This window comes from Homo sapiens, chromosome 8 (assembly GCF_000001405.40).
Source record: "Homo sapiens chromosome 8, GRCh38.p14 Primary Assembly".
Classification (NCBI taxonomy): Eukaryota; Metazoa; Chordata; class Mammalia; order Primates; family Hominidae; genus Homo; species Homo sapiens.
In genome coordinates, this window is record NC_000008.11 from 112,335,660 (window position 1) to 112,355,644 (window position 19,985).

At 32.2% G+C, this 19,985-nt stretch overlaps 1 protein-coding gene across 10 annotated transcripts in view; it reads right to left on the bottom strand.

Annotated features, from left to right (window-relative positions):
* Positions 1-19,985, bottom strand: part of CSMD3 (CUB and Sushi multiple domains 3) — a 1,214,012-nt gene that overhangs the window by 112,732 nt on the left and 1,081,295 nt on the right. For all 10 annotated transcript variants that reach the window (NM_001363185.1, XM_017013010.2, NM_052900.3 and 7 more), the window contains 6 exons: positions 16,757-16,875; positions 15,516-15,585; positions 10,438-10,554; positions 5,818-6,027; positions 1,884-2,072; positions 993-1,170 (listed from right to left, as the gene is read on the bottom strand). In NM_001363185.1, the coding sequence (NP_001350114.1) occupies positions 993-1,170; positions 1,884-2,072; positions 5,818-6,027; positions 10,438-10,554; positions 15,516-15,585; positions 16,757-16,875 (883 nt within the window). The remainder of the gene's footprint in view (positions 1-992; positions 1,171-1,883; positions 2,073-5,817; positions 6,028-10,437; positions 10,555-15,515; positions 15,586-16,756; positions 16,876-19,985) is intronic.

Here is a 19,985-nt window from a genome sequence, read left to right on the forward strand (position 1 = left end):
ATGTCAAGTATAAAAATAGATTACATTTTTACTAAATGGAATGTACTCATATTAGTTATAATCAATACATTGTCTTTGTTTTTTTTTTTTTTTACCAAAACTCTGATGCTTTTAAATGCTTGAGGTTTGCCCCTCTTTTATTTTCTTCAGCAACAGTCTTGAGAATCACAGACTGTTAAAGTTACAACTCTTAGAACTCAGATAAATTATCAGTAGTTAATTATTAATTCAGATACTTTCTTTAATACATTTTTATTTATTTATTTATTTAGAGCCAGGGCCTCACTCCGTTGCCCATGCTGGAGTGCAGTAGGATGATCACAGCTCACTGCACCTTTGACCTCCCAGGCTCAAGGGATCCTCTCATCTCAGCCTCCTGAATAGCTGGGACCACAGGCGCATGCCACCATGTCTGGCTAATTTTTTATTTTTTCTAGAGAGAGTCTCACTATGTTGCCCAGGCTGGTATTGAATTCTTGGGATGAAGTGATGCTCCCACTGTGGCCTCCCAAAGTGCTGGGATTGCAGATGTTAGCCACTGCACCTGGCCTTAATATATTTTTAAATAAAGATGTTTCAATTGACAAGACTTTAATACAATTAAATTTTTATGGCAGAAATCCACTAGTTATATTAAATAATTATAATTTCTTAAATTCCACTGGCTTTTGTAAGTAGAGAACTTCCATACCTTAAACTTAAGTCTGTTAACTTCCTGTTTTAGCACATTAATTTAATAATATTTTTTAATCTTGTTTTCACCTATGAAGTCTTTGTTCCACAATGCTTACCTAGTTCATGGGGCAAATAAGCCAAAACCTATTTCTCTTGTGTATGTAATTCTACAAGACACATACTGTCACCCTCAGTTACTCACATCAATTCAAATATCAGATGACAATTTGTAACAGAGGATTGTGATATATTTTTATTCCAACCTTGTTTTACTGTGTATATAATTGAATAAATCAATAACAATAGTCCTGACTTACCATACAGTAATGAAATCATATATTGGTTCTGTTTGAAGGACAGTAAAATTGATGTAGATGCCATTCCCAGGGGGTACTCTTACAAGCCAAAAACAATCTTGAAAGTTTGGATATTCATCAGGATACCCAGGAGAATAAATGGTGCCATTCATTGCAGTTATATTCCCACCACAAAGAGCTACGGAAAAAGTCACAAAACAAAATAATATTTTAAAATAACAATAAACTGACTGTGGAGAAAAAGGCAAACATTTCACATATCTTAAGCATTATGAAACACATTTATGCCTTGTTTTTACTTCAGTTGAGGTATGTATAATGAAGTTGGCAACAGTGCACAAAATAGAGTCAACTTTTATTTATTTTTCCACATGAGGTATACTAAATAATTGTTATTAATGATCACTAGATTAGTAAATTACATTGTCTTCTCTATTATTTAAATATTTTATATCAATGCAAAGACTTTAACTTTCATTTGCCTCTTACTATGTGTACATATAAGGCCTTATAAGAGGTTCAAAGCCTTTTATTTCAAAGGATTTTCTAGAGGAAAGGAACTCAGTAGCAGTATCTGGGTTAGTGGTTTATGTAAGAATGACTTAAATGCATACAAACCCACATGCACCCCCTTCCCTTCCCCACACACATAAGAAAAGCTCTAAAGTGTGAATCAACTATTTTTTCACTCCCAATAGGAAAGGTTAGGACTCCTGCCAATAATGATAAAATCGTTATTCATTATAGAGCCTTAGGGGTTTAAAAAATATCTTCAGCTGAGAGACTATATATTTAGCATGCTATTGGAAGAGGAAGACAAGTAAAAAGTGCCAAAACAATATTAAAAACAGATGACATCACCTAAAAGATAGCTTCAAGTTAGAAGCATACCTTCACACCTTGGAAGTGGATGATTCCAATTACGACTGACTCCGTGAAGGCATGTGAGAGCTGAATTTCCAATTAATGTGTATCCTGGGAAACATTCAAATGAAATGGTTTGACCCACAGTAAAATCATTACCAATTACAAAACCATTTCGAAACGGGCGTGGATCAGGACAGCTTTGCAACTGATAGGCTGGAAAGAGGAAAAAGAAAGACATTTTTTCTTTCCAAATTTCAGAGGCCACAGATAGGGTACTACAGCAATTTTGCAACTTAAAAATAGATGTGATGCTACTTGCAGTTGATTATAAATAGCAATTCAGGTTTATGATAAATGCTGTCAATGACCTGTGACATAAATTTCTTCTCATGTCTACAATTTTCATATTTAAAATGTTAGTACAATTAATAAAAACGCATGCTTTCTTCACCTACTTGTGCAACCCAACTAAATTATGTTTTAATGAAAATGTAAACTCTTCTTAAAGCTACAATTTTAATCCAATGCATTCTGATTCTCTTCCAGAGAATGCAATTGCTTCTTGATTATGTTACAAGCACACAGAATGCAATAAGAATATGTATAAGCCTAATTCTGAGCCTTTTTACAGTTTGTTTTACTAATTGTTTTTCTACAGATCACAATATACTTCTGTTGAGTTAATTTCAAAGAAGTTAGTTTGTAAAATAAAGCACTGGAAAAAAATTTTATTTTAATATAAAATGAACTTTGTACTTCAGTTATGGGATAATTTGGGCAATGCAGTATAATTGCCTATTTATTTGTTCATACTTCTCTTGCTCTACATTTTGTATGAGATCAAAGTTCCTGTTTGTATTATTATCATATCTCAAAGCCTTGGCTATTGCCTTTCACAGAGTAGTGTTAAATAAACATTACTAAATAAATGTTAGACCTATGAACAGGGCCTATTCTCATAAAATATCAATATTTGGAACTTTTTAATTAAGAAGTTCAAAATTGTATTCTAATTAGTAAAATTTAAATTTCTGAAAATCAAAGACTACTTCTCTACCAAACCGTTAAAATTTTATATTCCTCAAATAAAAAATCACATTCGAAGTTAAATAAACTATCCTGTTGTTTATTACAATATAACTCAAATTTTTAGGACTAAAGATTTCAGAATTAATGAACAAATTCTTTAAAATGTTAAGTGCTTTCATTCTTAATGTGTCCTTTTCATTTTAATTGATATTCTACACAAAAAATATTCTACACAAAAATATATTAGAAAGAGTTCTTATTCCAACTTAAGACAAATGTGTATTAGGAATTGATCATTAGGAGTTGGAATATATTATTCTATTAAATATACCCTTTCAATTTCTACTCCAAGTTTTTTAGTTTAATAAGTATAGAAAATAGATTTTAAGTGTGTAGGAGAAAGTTCCCATTCTAATGTTATATACAATACAGTGAGGTGGGAGAATTGGGTCTGGAGGCAGGGAACCTAAGGCTGTCTAACACCAACTTCCTCAAACTAAATTGAAAGGAAAACCCTAACTTTCCACAACTTAGTAATAAGAGGACCAGAGGCAACTCCATCTGCAAACCCCTCACCTTTTTGGCCCAGCAGATGAGAAATTGGCTGTCTGCAACCAATCAGACTGATTGCAGGCCGAGTCCTCGTTTGCACAGAAGTATAACTTTGTAACTTCACCTTAGCCTCTGATTGGTTGCAAAAAGCAATTGGTTGCTTTTTGCAACCAATCAGATATTTGCACAGGAGTGTGATCTTTGTAACTTCACTTCAGCTTCTGGTTGGCTGCTTTCAGATCAGACTGATTGCGGGCTACCACTTCATCTACATGGGGTGAGCATGAAGTGGCCAATGGGAAACTTCTAGGGGGCATCTGGACCCAAAAAGATTCTGTATCTGGGCCCTTGAGCCACTGATCGGCCTGCTCCCACACTGGGAGTGTACTTTTGTTTTCAATAAATCTCTGCTTTCGTTCTTTTGTTGCTTCATTCTTTCTTTGCTTTGCTGGGCGTTTTGTCCAATTCTTTGTTCAAAAAGCCAAGAATCCGGACAACTTGCAGTCACAATCTTGTACCGGTGACAACAGGACTTACCAAACCTAATAATCTTGTCAGTAATAACATTAATTTTCAAACTGATTCCTTCAGTAGATGGGTACTCTAAATTGTACAGTATAACTTTTCCAAATTCAGAAGGTTCTTAAAATTTAACCACAAAATCAATCCAAAAATAATATTGACTCTGTGAATATATATGTTAACTATTTCTTTAAAATGCACTAGGTTAGTTACATAAATGTAGCACAAAAAGAAACCATTTTAAAACTCAGTGTGATTCACAACATCTCCTCATCATTGTAATACATTATGGCTCCTGTTAATAATACGTCAGTAACAGTGAAAAAAGTTTATATATTTTACACTTTTATTAGGTCAATAATGAATTGTTTTTCAAGGATATATTAACTGAAAATATCAGAGTTAATAAAGCTCAATTTCTAGTTTTACATCATTCAAATAAGAACATTATTTTGAGAGAGAGGGAAAATGAGAATAGGAAAAAAACAGGTTTAGTCTGTTTTAAGGTGCATGGCAAAGAACTTGGCATAAGGCCATGTACACTTGCTAAAGTATATCACAAATATGGTTCTGAGTCTTCTAGCAGCAAAGAAGAGAAATTCAACCAATTACCCAATTGTTTTAAAAATAATTAATTTCCTTGCAAGCATGGTTAATTCAATGTGCTGGGAGGTGATTGAAATGACTCCTATTTTATGAAAGTGATTATGTGTAATGTAGTGTTCTTACATTATGCACGCAAGTATAATACAAATTATAATTATTTCAGATCCATGTAATTTGATGTTTAAGACCTATCTCTATCTTAACTACTTTCAAATTTCCTCTTTGGTAGATACTTTAGCAAATATTTATTGTGCTTACTGCTCTAGATGCTTATGATACTCCAATGAACAACCCAATTGCCTGTTCTTGAGGAGCTGAGATACAAAAGCATTACATAAAGTCCTTCAATAATTAGGGCAGAGATGTAATAACATTTTAGTTTATTTTGATTAAAAATTTCAGCCATTAGAAATAAACTTTATTATGTAAAATATCATTTTAATATTTAATTTTAACAGAATATACACATATAAGACATGAAATAATATAATAGCAATAGCTAAAAAGGACTGAGTAATTACTAAAAATATACATCATGGAATACACCTTACATACATTTTTTAATAAAAAGTTCAATACAACTTATCTGAAAGTATAATTAACTCCATTATGCACATGAGCAAATGGAGAGCAAGGCCGAGGCCACATTAGATAGAATAGGAAGAATCAACATTTGAGCCTAGCTCTACTTACGCCCAAACCCTTTACTCAAAAGAGATAAAAATCTTGCTCAAGGTCATGCAGTAGTTCTGTTTGAGAGATAGGTCTAATATAACATGATTATCAAAGTATTTATATTCTCATGACAATAGAACAAAATGAAGGAATGTCATATTAGTCTTATCACTATAAAGTAAAAGAACATTTTACATAATACAACACATGAATAATACAAAATATCTTTTCAATATATTCCTTTTAATATAAAAGCAAAGATACATCTTTGCTGTGCAGCTGGCCTTGCTTATTTGCCATGCCTTGCTTAATTTAATTGTGTATTAACTTAAGACTAATTCAATCCAGTTTCATGGTTAGGATTTTCTAAGGTCTCAGAGAGACATCATTCTCCCTGTGTAGTTCCCAGAGAGTTGCATTGTTCTAAAAATCTTCCTAATTGAAGCTCACCTTGGCTTAAGTTTTTTTTTTTTTCTTTCTAAAACAGAATACAGAAAATAATTAGACTCAGTTAAATATTTCTAATAGCTGATTTGGGGTTATATAAATTTTCATTTTTTATTATTTCTCTTACCTTGGTATACAATATGAAACCCTTGTTTGTTTTGTGAATAGTCACTGTGAAAATATAAGCTGGTTTCATGGGTGGTGCTGAATAAGGAAGATGGTATTTGAGGACCACTAAGCCGGCCAATAACAGTACTAGTTTCTGAGGATCCACTTCGTACTTCCAAATAATCATGTATGGTTTCTGTAGAAAAATTTACAAACTGGAGATGTACACCTGAAGAAGAAAACAAACAGAATGCTACTTTATTTGCTTTACCGAATTAAACATAAATATACACACACACAATCACATCAATGTACTTAGATAAGTTTGCATTTAAGTCAAGAGGCATAATCTCAAGATCTGAGTCATGGATTTGCTGTCTGCCTAGGACAGGTAACTTTGCTGAGGTTCAAAGTAAAAGAATACTGCTCTCACATGTCCATTATTAGTTAAAAGGAAAAACATTTCATTTCATTATAATGTCACTGTATGAAAAATGATCCAAAAAAGTGGCTTTCTTATTCTTTAATACGCTTTAAATTACATAAACTAATTTTTAGAGGAAAAGGCCGCTTTTGGCCTAATTTGTGTTATGGAAAAGGTCAATCTAAGGTTGAAAATAATTGCAAATTTGTAATATAGATTTGTAACATAGATTCCACAATTGCATTAGAAGTTATTCATTCACAGGAGAGAAATTAACTTCTCAGAAATATAACGTATATAATTTAAAGGGTGCTCTTTCAGTGTTTTGCTTATCAGAAGATAATGCAGGCTTTTATATAATAACCTTAATAAAATCTGGTGATCATTGTTATATGTGGTCATATTGCAATGTAATCTCAATATCTTTATAAGCATAACTAAAATACGAGACAGTGAAATGTCTCTGGGATAAAAAATGTTAATTAAAGTATATTTGCTTAATTAATTTAACACTCAATTTTAGTAAATTTGATGTTTTTCTTACTATTATCACTCTCTAAATTATTTGTAATAAAATCTGATATTTGGTGAAAGTTTTAAGTTATTTATATTTGCTACACATTATATATATTACCTGCCTTAAGTGATTTATATATGCTAACTTATTTAATTCTCACCATTTCATGAGAACAAGGAAAGTGAGTCGCAGAGAAGTAAGACACATGTAAAGTTTACACAATGACCCAGTAGGCTTGAACTGCAAACCGAGGCATTCAGACTCTTAAGCTTATGATATTAATAACTACACTGGGGCTCTGAGTAAACGCGCATCATGTTACTAAATGATTTTTTAAACAGTCCCTTGGACAAATAAGCTTTGGAAATATTTAAAACAGGGTTTAAAATATTAAACAACTTTCTAAAAAATTAGATTAACTTTTTAGAACTTTGGACATGCAACCTTAATATGTGAAGACCGAAGATATGCACTTTTTGTTTTTATTTTTAACTGAGCACTTTTATTACAAACATTTTCCAAAATTGTTTCATATATTCTTGAACATATGTTTCTTTACCTCTTGAAATGTATTATATATATATATATTTATATATATATATTTATATATATATATATTTATATATATATATATAGTTTAAATACATTGGACCTAATATTTGATTTAATCAAAACTCAAAGAAAAGAGTATGGTTATTAAAATGTAATCAAGTATCTAAATCTCTTATGTTTTCATTTATAAATTAGAGCTATATATTCAAGTTTTAATAAAGTTGGTTTTCAAAATCAAGAATTAGCCAGAAATTGAAGATCATGTTATAATGAGATTATTGAAACTATTTTTAATAATTCATTTTAAAATAATTCATTTAGCTACATAAGCTACAGTGGCTAGTGAAAGACGTGGAAGAGCCATGCTGGTTCAAATCTGTTGTTCATTTACATCAGTATTCTATCAATGGACATAGAAGTTCACTACAACTTCGAATTTAGAGTTTCCACATTTTAGCCAAAATGATCCTAAATAGGATTTCTAAATAGAAAGTCCCCAGCAACCTTCTCTCAATAACGTTCTGCTTTCCCAAAACCTCAGGCCAGTCACACAGTGTTCAGGCATGTTTAATTTTTTTTAGCTTTCTCACCTGCATTTTTCTACTTGTTACCTTGTTTACCTGGAATTTCTTTCACACGTCCTGCAGCAGACTGACATTCTTTGCTGGACTGACTTTTACTTAACTTTTTGTTTTTTCATTTCATTTAATCATTTATTTATTTTTTAAAGACAGGGTGGCCCAGCTGCTCAGTGGCATGATCACAGCTCACTGTAAACTCAAACTCCGGTACTCAAGCAGTCCTTCTGCCTCAGCCTTCTGATTAGGTGGGACATACAGGCGGGCTCCACCATGTGTGGCTAGTTTTTTTTTATTTATAGTACAGACAGAGCCTCACTATGTTGCCCAGGCTGGTTGATTATTTATTTATTATTTATTTATTTATTTTTTGAGATAGAGTCTTGCTCTGTTGCCCAGGCTGGAGTGCAGTGGCAAGATCTCCGCTCACTGCAGCCTCCGCCTCCTGGGTTCAAGCAATTCTGCTGCCTCAGCCTCCAGAGTAGCTGCGACTACAGGTGCGTGCCACCATGCCTGGCTAATTTTTTGTATTTTTAATAGAGATGAGGTTTCACCATGTTAGCCAGGATGGTCTCAATCTCCTGACCTTGTGATCTGCCCGCATCAGCCTCCCAAAGTGCTGGGATTACAGGTGTGAGACACCATGCCTGGCCTGGTTACTTATCTTTAAAGCTAAAGTTTAAGCATCACTCCCTCTGTCAAGACTTTACTGCATTTCCTATACTAGGCTGATGTCCATTCTAAGTACAATCCTGTGCTCTCTAGTTACACTGTATCATAATAATACATTTTACTGTCTCCTCATTATGACTGTAACTTATTTAAAGAAAAATGCAAAGTCTGCATTGCCATACATTTTATCTCCAGCACTTAGCAGTATCTGGAGTATAATATACACTCAGTAAATATTTGTCAAAACTATGAGTTATCTGTTAATTTATGTAAAACATTTAAATATGCATTTATACTCTGAGGTTGTAGATGCTTACTGGGTAGTGAGATACCCAAGTTCAGTCCTCAATAAGTGACATAGTACAGAATTTCCTAATAACTCTAAAACTACCTGGTTTGTGCTTCAATGAGTATCTATTCATCCTAGTCTTCTGTGATTTAATGAACATGTGTACCCTCAATCAAGCACTTCTTTTAGTGCATTTATAAACTCATAGGATCTGCAAAAGCTGTAAGAGAGTATATTAGTGATGTAAGGGTAAGGAGAATTTATTAAATATGATATATTATGTAATGTATCAAAAATATTGGGAATTATTACATTAAAATTGGGAAGGTATTATAGTGATTTGTATTTAAACCTAATATTTTAAAATTCATACTACTTTTTAAAAATAAAATCTGATTTACTTGCAAAGAAAATGGGATGAATTCAATAGATTACTAGAAAATAATAACTGTACTACTTGATTACAGCAATAAGAAAAGAGTTACAAAAACAATGCACATAAAATTTAGGTTGAATTTATCATTATTATACATATCTAATTCAGGGTATATCCATACATAGCGACTGAAAAATAGTATAAGTCTGTCTAGCTATATCAGTCTATACATCTCTATATATAATTATAAAATGACCTGGCACACTGTTGGTGGGAATAAATATTAGTACAGACATTACAGGAAACAATATGGAGGTTCCACAAAAAAATTTAAAACAGAACTACCACATGTGCCAACAATCCTACCACTGGGTATATGTGCAAAAGAATTGAAGTCAGAATCTTGAAGAGATATCTTCAATCTTGTATTTCTGCAGCATTACTCACAATGGACAAGATACGGAATCAACCTAAGTGTCCATCATCTGATGAATGGATAAAGAAAATATAGTATACATACACAATGAAACACTATTCAGCCATAAAAAAAACAAGGGAATTCTGTCATATACAACAAAATGGATGAACCTGGAGGGCATTATGTTAAGTGCAATTAAGTCAGGCACAGAAAGACATATCACATGATCTCACATGTGGAATCTGAAAAAACTGAACTCAGGAGTAGAAAGTAGAAGGGTAGTTACCAGGGTGTAAGAGAGAAGGATTAAGAAAATGTTGGTTAAAGGGCACAAAATTTCAGTTACACAAAAGAAGTAAATTCATTGTACAACATGGTAACTATAGTTATTAACAACATATTGCGCTCTTGAAAATTGCTAAGAGGGTTTTAAGTGTTCTCACCATAAAAAATATTAGAGATAATATATTAATTAACTTTATTTAGTTCTTCCAAAATGTATACAAATTTCAAAACATCATGTTGTACATGATAAATATGTACAATTTTTATTTGTCAATTAAAAAATAATAAATCAGAGTAAAAAAAAAATATGCCCATATACCTTCAATTATCCAAGTACTCCAAGTGAAATGTATTTGACTTAAGCAACAATTATTTAAATTTCACTCTTCAATTTACATAGTTGTATGTATTCCTAAACTAAACTGCAATTTGTGAAGATTTTATAAATTCTTATTCGACATTGAAATTTATTTTAAGGCTACATTAATAAATATTGAAAGCTCTTTCACGTGTTTTTAATACACATACCAAAACCTATGGGTAGATTTATTGTCCATGTGCAATCTAAACTGCTGGGATAGTTTCCAGGAAACCCAGGACTGAGGATCACACCACTGAAGTCTGACATAGCACCACCACACTGAGCTGCAAAATAACAGAAATCCAAAGTAAACCAGAGTAGAGGAATAATTTACTGTATTAAAAAACATATTAAAATCATTTCACGTTTTCAAGGCTCTGAGTTAAAACTGATATAAATTTGAATATTGTCTGTTCACTCACTATACACTAGGAATTAAATATAATCAACAACAGATTTTCTAAAACAGCATAAAAAGACAACATCCTTCCTTCCTCAGAAATAAGTGGAAAGTAAATCAATTATTGCATAAAAGTAACAGATCATGTGCAGTAAATATAAACGAACAAAGACATGTGCTTTGCCACAGCGGGCACTTTATTTCTCTTCCTCAAGTAGTCCTAGAAATGTTTTGAATCATCCCAAAGACGATATAATTTAGAGTAAAATCAAGCCAACCACTTCAGCTCTAAGTACTGTATTCAAGAGGAAATCATTTTCACAGCCTTCCCTCCTTTTCCTTTTTTTTTTTTTTTTTTTTTTTTTTTTGGAGAAGGAGTCTCTCTGTCACCCAGGCTGGAGTGCAGTGGCGCAATCTCGGCTCACTGCAAGCTCCGCCTCCCGGGTTCACGCCACTGTCCTGCCTCAGCCACCCGAGTAGCTGGGACTACAGGCGCCTGCCACCACGCCCGGCTAATTTTTTGTATTTTTAGTAGAGACGGGGGTTTCATTGTGTTAGCCAGGATGGTCTTGATCTCCTGACCTCGTGATCCGCCCGCCCAGGCCTCCTATCCTTTTCCTCTTTTTGTGAGAAGGCTCAATAAAGATTTGTAAGCAAAATATTGGTTTCCATTCATATGTGAGAAGTTCACATATTACACATTAGATATGGCCTTATTTTATCCTAAAAGAATCAAGACAAAAAATAGAGAAGTAAAAATAAGTAAAAAGATGCACACAAATTTGAGAATGTAGGGAGTTCGTAAATGTGCTTGTCTTGGAATCCCTATTATACGGTTTACTATCAATAAGGTAAGCAAAAGCTCTAAGACCAGAAATTTACTCAAGTTTTTAAATATAATTAGATAGAACCCTTGAGCATATATGAAAGGCAATTGCATTTTAGAAACCTATTCTTGACCGTCTAAAGCACATTTTTATCATTTTATTGTTAGATGAAGAATCAAATTTCATGACTACAAATGAAGTTCAAAAGTTACCTATACAGAATACTTATTTGCAATCGCATCCATTTATTTCGTGCCAAGAGTAGCAACACACAGATACTCAAATCTCAGGTTATATATTTTAAAGGCAAATTCAGTAGGAATTTTAACAATGTTTTATACAATATTCAATAAGTTTGACAACTATCTTTTGCTATGTGAACTAAATAAATTATGTGTCAATCTGATTTTATATAATCTTGGAGTCAACCTGCATATAAACCTTTCATCAAACTTGTGATTATAATCAAGCTCTAAAGATATACCCATATGCTTTTTTATGCTTCTGAAATCTCGTTAATTCACCCTTAAACCAAATCAATTTTCAATGAAGTTAGTATTTACCAATTCATTTTCCTAAATTCAATTGTTCACACATATTCATCACAAAATCTGATAATTAATGAGTTGTAAAAACAATAGTTTGCTCAATTAAAATATTTTTAAAGTTTATGGCAATACATTTGTAGGTTTGTTTTGCTTTATTCTGAAATTTGAGTAAAAGGCAAGGACTATCTTTTATTTTCTTGCCTTCACAATTTCAAGTCTTTGAGCTGCTGATTGTCCTTCTAATTCTGTTACTTTCTATCTCTTTAGATATGAACTGGAATTCCTGTCCTCTGCATTGATGGCCCCACCTTTCAGGGTGAAAAATACCAAAACCAAAAGAGAAAAAGAAAACAGAATAGAGTAAAGAGATAACAACAACAGAAGAAAAACAATGACAAATCATTAGAGACATATGAAGAAGGATACCAAAGAATGCATCTGCCTTCAGCAATTTGTTCATGTCTATTTCCTCAGTATCTCTGCAATCTCAACACTCCTATGCCTTGAATATCAATTTTGTGTGTGTCATCAGCAGCTTCATGTACACTCTTTTGTGTCCCATTACACTCTTTTTGTTAGGGACAACCATACCTTAGTCTTCCAAAATAAAATCAACTTCTGTTTTTTCATCTTAGTTGTCTCTAATATCTAAAATCTCACATAAATTTTCCTTCTTTCCATCAAAATATCTGGCAGATTGCTTATTTTCCAGTTCACGAGGCTGTAGCCTTGTTATCTGATGACTAGTGTTTTAAGACATTCGCTGAATCAGCCTCTTGCTTCTAGTTTCTCCTTACAATATTGCTATTGTATCACTGCCAATATTTTAATACTCTGTCACATGTAGTACCAGCTTATTGTTCAAAATTTATAAAATACAAAAAAAAAGAGTAAAAAGGAATTTAAAATGGGTCAGGTGCGGTGGTTCATGCCTGTAATCTCAGCACACTGGTATACCGAGGCAGGCAGATCACCTGAGGTCAGGAGTTCGAGACCAGCATGACCAACATGGTGAAACCCCAACTTTACTAAAAATACAAAATTATATAATAAAACAATTTTTCTAATTTAGTTTATAATATAAATGTAAACTTAATCAAAATGATACTTTATCTACTAAAAAAGTAATTTTTTAAAAAATTGTTTTGTTACATTTTATTTCTCTTTTGCCCTGTCTTATGGTGCTGAGAAAATTGATAATTTTTTAAGAATAATAATTGATGTAAGCAATATAGCAAGATGGGAACTGTCCTGTAATAATAGAGTGGTATTTAAATTGGTACAACCTTCTGGAGCAATTTGATAATATTTATGAAAGGTTTTAAGCAGTTCTATTCAGTGACATAATTAATCTATTTAAGAAAAATTATAAACAAGCTATTAGAGCTGTTTTCTAATTATGATATGAGATGTGTTCATAATAAATATAAAATTATGAAGTACATAATGTGAAAAAATAAATATGTAATTTATAATATCAAAAGATGAGAAATAAACTTTTAACGAAAAAGAAGTAATTGCACAAATTAGACAATGCTATGTGTCAAGAATCAAAATTCAAATTTTGTTTGTTTCAGTTGTAGTTTTTGACATTTCAAATTTTGAAAACAATATGGTATGAGAAATTCTTACACGTTAACATCAAAAAGAAAAACATTACTATATATATATAGTATCCCAAGCCTTTACATTAATTTGTTCACTAAACAGTATATAATGGATGCCTATTTAAGATGAGAAACTTTTCAGGCACTAGCAATATGGTAATGGATGAAAGATCTAAACTCTGTGCTTTCATATTAGCAGAAAAAAACATATTTATTTTACTCTTTGTGCTCTTTTATATTCTCAACTTTTATACTCAATTGGATATACACATAAACACACACACACCACACAATATATTTACAATCACCATTATCTGCACATATGTAAGTGTTCAGAATTGCATTACATGTATATATATGAGGTAATTTTAAAATTGGTATAATATGCATTTACAAATTAATCATAGTACCTTAAAAACTTCCCTTAAAAAAATCATCCAATTTAAAGTCTGAGTGTTTTCAATGTACTTTGCCAATTAAACACATCATCACTCTTAAACATTTTTCAGTACTCTTCAAAAAGAATTGTGTGCATTTTACGCAGATGTTGTGGACTTAATTATGTCCCCCCAAAATTTATATTTTGAAGTCCTAACCCCTAATGTGACTGTATTTGGAGATAGGGCCTTAATGAAGGTACTTAAGGTTAAATGAGGTCATAAGAGGAGGGTCTTAATCCAATAGGACTGGTGTCCTTTAAGAAGAGGAAGAGACACCAGGAGCGTGGGTGCACAAACCAAAGATCATGCAAGAGATACCATCTACAAGCCAACAAGAGAGGCCCTTAGAAGATACCAATCTGCTAGCACCTTGTTTTGTAACTTCAAGCTTCCAGAACTCTGAGAAAATAAATTTCTGTTGTTTAAACTACCCAATCTGGAGTGTTCTGCTATGGAAACCCAAGCAGAGGAATGTAATACAGGTACGGTCATTGTGCAGAGTTAAGTCACACAAGTCATGGACTTTTTTTTTTTTTTTTTTTGACTTGGGCTCTTTCTCCAACTCAGAAAGAGATATCTTCTTCCTCCATGTGTCTTAATTAGACTTATTATCCAAAACTCTGTGAAAACCTTGCAGGCTGAATATGTTTGCCAATACTTTAGTCAACCCCAGTCTCACTTTTCTGAAATTCCATCATGTAGTTAATGATAAAATTTAACTCTAAATTATTTGATAACAAATTCATTTATTTTATTTCTAGTACTCCAAATAGTAATTGAATGTTTTAAAGGTAGGGATCATACCTCACATTACTTTCTCTTACTCTTTACAGCCCAGTATATTAATAGTTGCACACAAATACAAAAAAAAATGAGGAAGAGAAAAAAAAGCATGAATAGAAGTAATTTGGAAGCAGCATTGAGTTAAAGCAAAAATGTGCACCTGTACTTTCAAAGTACCCAAGTTTCCTTTTAATATATTCCATATCTTGACTGCCTGACACCACTAAAGACATCTCATGAGGTGTCATACTCCTTTTGCTAGACACTTTAGATTCTTTATCTATTCCCGCTCAATAGTAAGCAATAGAATATTTACTTATTTTTCTGTTCAATAGATATACTGAGAAAACTCTCTAAGAATTTTTTTAAGTCTTTTCTTAATTTCTACAGCTTAAGTCATCCACTGATACTGAAGTTGAGGATAAATAAAAATAAAAATTTTAAATTAAAAAAAAGAAGATGTGAAATATTTTCCTCAAAAAGTCATTTCCATAAGATCTGGTAAAAGGCAAACTATATGTTTGAAAATCATGATATACAGAATGAAACTTTAAAATCTGATGAAGCTTACAAATACTTTATAGTCTTTTTTTTTACACTTTAAGTTCTAGGGTAAATACTTTATAGTCTTTTAACTTACCTAAACAAATTGGGATTGGATAATTCCATCTTCTTACAGGTCCTGGCATACATGTAATGTGAGAGTGACCCTACATAAACAAAATGATGTGGTTCAGTACACATACATAAAAAGTTTAAATTTATTGTAGCATAGTCAATTATTATTATAAAAACAAGCTTAAGTACATGGCTTTATTTTTATACACATATTTACTTATATGAAAATCTTAGCATGATTAAAGTAAGAAAGGTGATTATATACACCTATGATAAAATGTAAGAAATAGCTACATGATAGTGGTAGAAAAAATAATACTTCATATCATATTAGAATTGCGGTTTTAATATTTTCCTATAACAATATGTTTTACTAAGATATTGCAGTGATTATATAAGTGAAAGGGCAGTATACATGGTGGTTTATAATAAATTGCTATAACACACAAGGTGAAGTAGGTTAAAGAATAATTTTAAAATTTTTTCACAAAAATATTAAAACAAGTCAAAGTATATTAACTTTTATATTGAAATATAAAGTCCTGAAAGATCTGTTTGCACTTCTGAGATTTATAATTTTGTGATACAACTTTAAAGACTATAAATTATTAATTTTTAATTTTGCTTTCTCTGAAGAATTTATTTATCTAATATGTGAAACAGTATTTTCCTTAACTTTTTATCTTAATGAGTTTATTCTTTAAGGAAATTTTTATGTTACTATAAACCTGGGACCCTCGACAAAAAAAATCAAAAAAGATCAATATAAATACATAAAATCAGAATATACATTGCAAATCCAGTTCCTTAGCAAAATATACTTGTAGTAAATTTTCACTAATTTGGGAAATGTATTGTTATGGAAGTTTCATTCAGTGTTTTAAGTGGCATTTCCCTTTATTTTCAAATTCTAAAAATCCAGGAATTCAGTTGTCACAATCCTATGTGAATAGAGACAAAAGTAAAGATTAATTTTTACTTTAAAAGACTTTAATCTAATTAATTAAAATCAAGGAGAAAGGACTTCCCTAACTTTCCTAATTTTGACTCAAAATCAGTTTTGTTTACTTCCAAACAAAACAAATTTAGTCAATTCCAGCAATATTTCTCATGTGCATATTTTATTATCAAATTGAGCACCCTTTTGACCTCAGACACAAACCAGGATCAATGTTGTAAAACCCGTGGCTTATCAATCATTGATTTGTAAAATATTCTGAAAGGGCCATGAAAATCAAAACCACAACTTTAAAATAGACTTACCTGAAGAGAATATCCTTGATCACACTGAAAGGATACTACATCTCCAACCATATATCTGTCTCCAATTTTAATTCCACTGCTAGGAGTTTGTGGTTCAGGACAGGAATCCAAACCAATTGCTAAGAATATTTAATGATAACAATTTAAGTAACTTTCAAGTGATAAATGCTTAAGTTATGCATATTAAGTTGCTAAAATTGAATATCAGTGTCTCATCAAACTAGATACTATATTGAGACGTTGAGAACGTTCTGTGAACAAGATTTAACTGTAGATGTCAAGAATAATGCACATTTGAACATCATTATAAAGCTATACAATTTTAATTTTTATGGCACCAGTCATTAAGCTAGCTGTGTGAATATACCTAAATTGTGTTTTAACTCCAGGCTTAATTGTTTTCTACTGTGAAACAAAAGTAAAAATTTCTGAAAAGAAAATTCCTACATGAAAATTAAAAATAATTTATTATGATAATAGAAATAAATAATACTTTAAAAACATTCTTAGCAAAAACTTAAAAATTATTTGCTATTTTGTCTTCCTTGCTTAACTCTTTCTTCTTTTATTCTGAATCGGCTTTTAAATTTATGAGGTACATTTTGATGTACTTCTTATTATATGTAAAATTTTTAAAATATAGTTGTAAGTAGAACTTTTCTTTCTCTGAAGATACTATAATCAAAAAGGAGAGGCCAAGTGCGGTGGTTCATGCCTGTAATCCCAGCACTTTGGGGGGCTGAGGTGGGTGGATCACCTGTGGTCAGGAGTTTGAGACCAGCCTGGCCACCGTGGTCAAACCCCGTCTCTACTAAAAATACAAAAATTATCCAGGTGTGGTGGCAGGTGCTGTAATCCCAGCTACTTGGGAGGCTAAGGCAGGAGAATTGCTTGAACCCAGGAGGCGGAGGTTGCAGTGAGCTGAGATCTTGCCATTGCAATCCAGCCTGGGTGACAGAGCGAGACTTCATCTCAAAAAAAAGGAAAGAAAGGAGAAAAACTGGTGTCTCATTGAGACCTGAAAAGTATTATGTGCTACTTGAATTCAGTATTTTTCTGATAAGGAGATAACAATGTAATTCAAAACACTTTCATTATTTTTATTAGGTAAGAACTTATTTTTTATCTAGAGCAAAGGAAAAAGTTCCTGGAAACATGCAACCTCCCAAGATAGAATTTTTTATCTAGAGTCAATGAATAAATCCTTGCAAACACACAACCTCCCAAGATAGTATCAGTGAGAAACTGAAACCCTGAACAGACCACTGAGTTCTAAAATAAAATCAGTAAGAAAAAAACCTACCAAGAATAAAAACAAAGCCCCAGACCAGATGGATTTATGGCTGAATTCTACAAAACATACAAAGCTGATACCAATTTACCAAAACTTACAAAAATTCAATGAGAAGGGACTTTCCTAACTCGTTCTACAAAGGCCACCATTAACCTAATACCAAAACACGGCAAAGACACAACAAAAAAAGAAAAATACAGGACAATATTTCTGATGAACACAGTTCGTAAAATCCTCAGCAAAATACTATCAAACCAACTCCAGTAGCATATCAAAAAGTTAATTCACCATGATCAAACAGGATTCTTCCTGGGATGCAAGGTTGTTTCAACATATGCAAATTAATACATGTGATTCACCATGTAAATAGAATTAAAAATAAAAGCCATATGATCATTTCAATAGATGCAGAAAAAGCTTTCAATAAAATCCAACATCACTTAATGATAAAAACCCTAAAGAAACTATGCATTAAAGTAACACATTTCAAAATAATAAGATCCATATATGACAAACCCACAGACAATATAATACTGAGTGGGCAAAAGCTGGGATAATTCATGTTGAGAAGAGGAACAAGAAAAGGATGTTCACTCTCACCACTTGTACTCAACATAATTCTGGAAGTCCTAGCCAGAGCAATCAGGCAATAGAAATAAATAAAAGGTATCCAAAAAGGAAAAAACAATAAGTCAAATTATCTCTCTTCACTGACAACATGATTTTATACTTGGAAGACCATAAAGAATCTGCCAAAAGGCTCATAGAACTGATAAACAACTTCAATAAAGTGTCAGGATATTTAATCAATGCACAAAAATTAGTAGCATTTATATACACCAACAACATCCAGGCTGACAGTCAAATTAAGAATGCAACCCCATTTACAATAACTGCAAAACAAATAAAACATGTAGCAATACATCTTATTAAGGAGGTAAAAGATCTTTACATGGAGAACTACAAAACACTTCTGAAAGAAATCATAGATGACAAAAACAATGGGAAAACATTCCATGCTCATGAATTGGAAGAATCAATATTGTTAAAATGACCATATTTCCCAAACCAATCTACAGATTCAATGCTATTTCCATCAAACTACCAACGTCATTTTTCACAGAACTAAGAAAAAAACTGTGCTAAAATTCATATGGAACTGAAGTAAAGCCCAAATAGCCAAAGTAATCCTAAACCAAAAAAAGAACAAAGCTACAGTCATCACATAGCCTACTTCAAACTATACTACAAGGCTATGGTAACCAAAACAGCATGGTACTGGTACAGAAACAGACACAACGATGGATGGAGTGGAATAGAGAACTAAGAAATAAATCCACACATCCACAACTACTTGATTTTCATCAAAGTTGACAGAAACAAGCCATGGGGAAAGAACTCTATTTAATAAATGGTGCTAGGATAACTGGCTAGCCATATGCAGAAGAATGAAAATAGACACCTATCTCTCACATTTACAAAAACTAACTCTTGATGGATTAGATATTTAAATGTAAGACATCAAATTTCAGGAATTCTAGAAGAATATCTAGGAAATGCCACTCTGGACATTGGCCTTGGCAATGAATTTATGACAACATCCTCAAAAGCAATTGCAACAAAAACAAAAATTGACAAGTAAGACCTAATTAAACTACAGAGTTTCTGCACAGCAAAAGAAACTGTTAAAGGAGTAGCAAACAACCTACAGAATGGGAGAAAATGTTCATAATGGGAGAAAATGTTCGTAAGCTATGCATCTGACAAAGCTCTAATATCCAGAATGTATAAGGAACTTAAGTCAACAAGCAAAACACAAATTCCCCATTAAAAAGTGGGCAAGGCCGTGCGTGGTGGCTCATGCCTGTAATCCCAGAACTTTGGAAGTCTGAGGCAGGTGCATCACGAGGTTAGGAGATTGAGACCATCCTGGCT